Genomic DNA, 4,009 nt, shown 5'->3' on the forward strand with positions numbered 1-4,009 from the left:
AGGTTGCAGTGAGACGAGATCGTGCCACTGCACTCCAGAGCCCGGCTGACAGAGTGAGACTCCATCTCAAAAAAAAAAAAAAAAAAAAAAAGTGTATCAATTTCTTATAGCTGCCGTAACCAAGTGGCTTAAACAACAGAAATGTATTGTTTCACAGTTCTGAAGGCTGGGAATCAAAGATCAAGGTGTTGGGGCAGGGTGGGCTCTTTCTGGGGGCTGTGAGGCAAGGATCCGTTTCAGGCCTCTGTCCTTGGCTTGTAGAAAGCCATTTTCTTCCTGTGTCCCTGTACATTTACGCATATCTCCATGTACAAGTTTCTCCTTTTTTTTTTTTTTTTTCAGACGGAGTCTCGCTCTGTCACCGGGCTGGAGTGCAGTGGCGCGATTTTGGCTCACTGCAAGCTCTGACTCCCTGGTTCAAGCGATTCTCCTGCCTCAGCATCCCGAGTAGCTGGGACTACAGGCACGCGCCACCACGCCCAGCTAATTTTTGTATTTTTAGTAGAGACAGGGTTTCACCATGTTGGCCAGGATGGTCTTATCTCCTGACCTCATGATCCGCCTGCCTGTGCCTCCCAAAGTGCTGGGATTGCAGACGTGAGCCACCGCGCCTGGACAGTTTCTCCTTTCTATAAGCACAGCAGTCATACCGGATTAGGGCGCCCATCCATAACCGTCACCAAACAGAGGGTTAGTTGCTTGCTGCCTGCGTAGTCCAATTAACAAGAGCGAGGTCTGGCATAAAGAAAGCGGTTTCTTCCGAAGCTAGCTTGGGGAAGAGTCGTGAACGTTAGTCCTGCCTTTACATGTGACGTTTTGCTCCCAGAGCAGAAAGTAGGCACTTATCCAAGGCCGGGGAAGGAGTGAGCAAGGGCGAGGGGTCCCCCTGCTGGCCCAGTGCCTTAACTACTGGGTAGCTGAGTTGGTGCCTTCCTGGGCAGAAGTTATAAAAGTGGCCAAGTGGGCGTGCTTTTGACATGCCCTCCTGGTGGGTGGGAGTTCCAAGGCAACCCCTCCTAGAGGGTGAAGGTTCTGAGGCAGGCATGCTTTGGGGGCATAAGCCGGGGGAAAGGGGAGAGGAGAAAATAATTAAAAAATAAACTGAAAAATGAGAGTACTCAGTTACATAATGAACTCATTTTAACTTGATTCCCTCTTTACAGACCTTATCCCTAAATAAGGCTATATTCTGTAAACCAAAAATAAAATCTTAAGATCCGTCAGCCATCTGAATGGACTCCTCCTCTCTGCCAGAGCATTCCAAAGTTAACCGGAAAAACTGGTTCAGGCCATGATGGAAATGGGGGGGTCAGACATGGCTCGTTATACCATCCCCACTTATGGAATTCAGAAAGAGCCAACCAGCATTTAACATCAACACAGAACTTATGTCTAATAAGAAACATTTAGTCTATTCTCTCTGAGGCATGCTATCTGGAGGCTTCATTTGCATAATTTAAAAGTTGGTCTCCACAACCCCTATCGAAACCCAGACATTCTATTGATAACTCTTTTAACCAATTGCCTATCAGAAAATTTTAAAATCTACCTATGACCTGGAACTGCCCCTCACCCTCCATCTTTGAGTTGTGACACCTTTCCAGACCAAATCAATGTATATCTTACATGTATTTGATTGATGTCTCATGTCTCCCTAAAATGTATAAAACTAGGCTATTCCCCAACCACCCTGGGCACATGTTCTCAGGATCTCGTGAGGGCTGTGTCATGGGCATTGGTCACTCATATTTGGCTCAGAATAAATCTCTTCAAATATTTTACAGAGTTTGACTCTTTTCATCAACAATTCTGAGGTGCTGGGGGTCAAGACTCCAACATATGAAATTCGTGAAGCAGGGGACACAATTCAACCCATAACAAGGAGTTACATGTTTTTAAAAGAGAGGTAAAGCACAAGAAAACATATTTGGTCTTTGTGCCAGTTCCAGGTACATGGCTTCTAAAACCCTTGGAATCTCCCGTGTGATAAGATTATCTTCTGTATGATAATGAGCTGACTGGTGCCTGGGGTTGCCTGGATGGCCTCAGGATGAGGGTGGATTGATAAAAGACCTAGGCATCTTTAGAGGCTGGAACTTCTAGCCCCACTCCCAATCTCTTGGGACGGAAAGTTGAGTTAATCACCAATGGCCAATAACTTAATCGATCCAAGTCCACACAACAAATCCTCCATAAAAACTCCTAAAGAACAGGGTTTGGAGAGCTTCCGGGTTGAAAACTTGGAGGTACTGAGGGCTGGTGCACCCACAGAGGGCGTAAAAGCTCTCTGCCCCTCTCCCTATATCTTCTCTTCTGCATTTTTTCCATTTGGCAGTTCCTCAGCAGTATCTTTTTTTTTTTTTTTTTTTTTTTTTTTTTGAGACAGGGTCCTACTCTGTTGCCCAGGCTGGAGTGCAGTGATAACATCATAGCTCACTGGAGACGCAAACTCCTGGGCTCAAGTAATCCTCCTGTTAGCAGTGGCAAATCCACGAGTCTGCAGCAACCTCAATTCTTGCCTCCTTAGGAGAAAGAATTCGTTCGACTGAAGGGCATAAGGCAGAGAGAGAGATGGAGGTAAGTTTTAGAGCAGGCGTGAAAGTTTATTAAAAAGTTTTAAAGCAGGAATCAAAGAATGTAAGGTACACTTGGAAGATAGCCAAGCAGGAGTCTTGAGGAGTTCAAGTGCCCAGTTTGACCTCTGACTTGGGGTTTCATATGCTGGTATTCTGCATGTGCGGTGGCCTGCCAGCACTTAGGAGGGGGCCAATGCACAGTGTGTTTACTGAAGTTGAACAAATGCACATTGAGGCGTTCTTTCCTACAAGTTGAATGTTCCTAGAGGAAGGTCATATACCCGTTAAACTCTGCCATTTTGCCTTTGAGTGCACATGCTTGAGCCCACTCACCCAACTCCTGAGATCATATTGGGAAGCTGCTAGTCACCAGTTTCAGGTGTTTTCTATCTGTTGGGAGACTGCCTTTCCCTAGCACTGGCTGCAACCAATTATTATTTTAAAGAGACAGTTAACAACCACCTGACCATCACCTGATGGTTGCCTAACATTCCTGGTGGTGGAAGGACCCTCTTCTGCCCTGCTCACGTCTAACTACCTGCTCTAATACTCCCACCTCAACCTCCCAAGTTACTGAGACTATAGGTGTGAGCCACCGTGCCAGGCCTGAGCTGTTATCTTTTATAATAAAATGAGAATAATCAGTGCTTCAGGGCTTTGCTGAGTTCTGTGAGGCATTCTAGCAAATTATAGAAACTGAGGGGAAGGGGCCATGGGAACCCCCAAATTTGTAGTCACCTGGGCAGAAATGTGGATCACCTGGGCACCCCATTTACAGCTGACATCTGAAGTAGGGAAGTATTGTGGGACTGAGCCTTTAACTTGTAGGGGTGGATGCTAACGCAGGCAGACAGTATCAGAATTTAATTGAATTATTGGACATCCGGTTGATGTCTAGAGAACTGGAGAAATGGCTGGTGTTAGAACGGACATCACACATTTGGTGTCAGGAGGAAAACACCCTCGGGAGGATTAAGAGGAAGGAAAGGCTTTGACAAGCAGAGGAGGCTCAAGGCATTGAGTTCAGAGTACTCCATGGAGTCAAGGAGGTCTCCGAATCCTCTGGAGTGTCCCCATCCTAATTCACAAAGTCTTGGTTTTTCCTGATTAGGACTTGCACTTACACGACCTGGTGACTAACCAACAGAGTAACTGAATAACCCTACAGATCAATTTTTGAGTTTGGTTTTCAGTTACTTCAGCCTTAGGGTTTTCTGGTATTCTTGGTTTTATTTTTAGAAATAAAAAAAAACAACATAGACTTGAAGGACTTCAATAGCACATAAGAAAAATAAGTTGAATCAAAAGGATGAGAAAGGATTGAAAAAGACTAGAACAATCTTTATCAGAGAATTATTAACCATGTTAAGGGCCAGGCGCGGTGGCTCACGCCTGTGATCCTAGCACTTTGGGAGGCTGAGACAGGCGGGTCA

General features: G+C 45.6%; 1 annotated feature.

Annotated features, from left to right (window-relative positions):
* Positions 613-1,112: an enhancer, noted in NCBI's record as "H3K4me1 hESC enhancer chr6:3990981-3991480 (GRCh37/hg19 assembly coordinates)". NCBI's record gives its function as "activates a minimal SCP1, AML or CMV promoter by ChIP-STARR-seq in primed H9 embryonic stem cells {active_cell/tissue: H9 hESC(primed)}" and the evidence as "EXISTENCE:reporter gene assay evidence [ECO:0000049][PMID:30033119]".

Source organism: Homo sapiens, chromosome 6, assembly GCF_000001405.40.
Source record: "Homo sapiens chromosome 6, GRCh38.p14 Primary Assembly".
NCBI classification, from domain to species: Eukaryota; Metazoa; Chordata; class Mammalia; order Primates; family Hominidae; genus Homo; species Homo sapiens.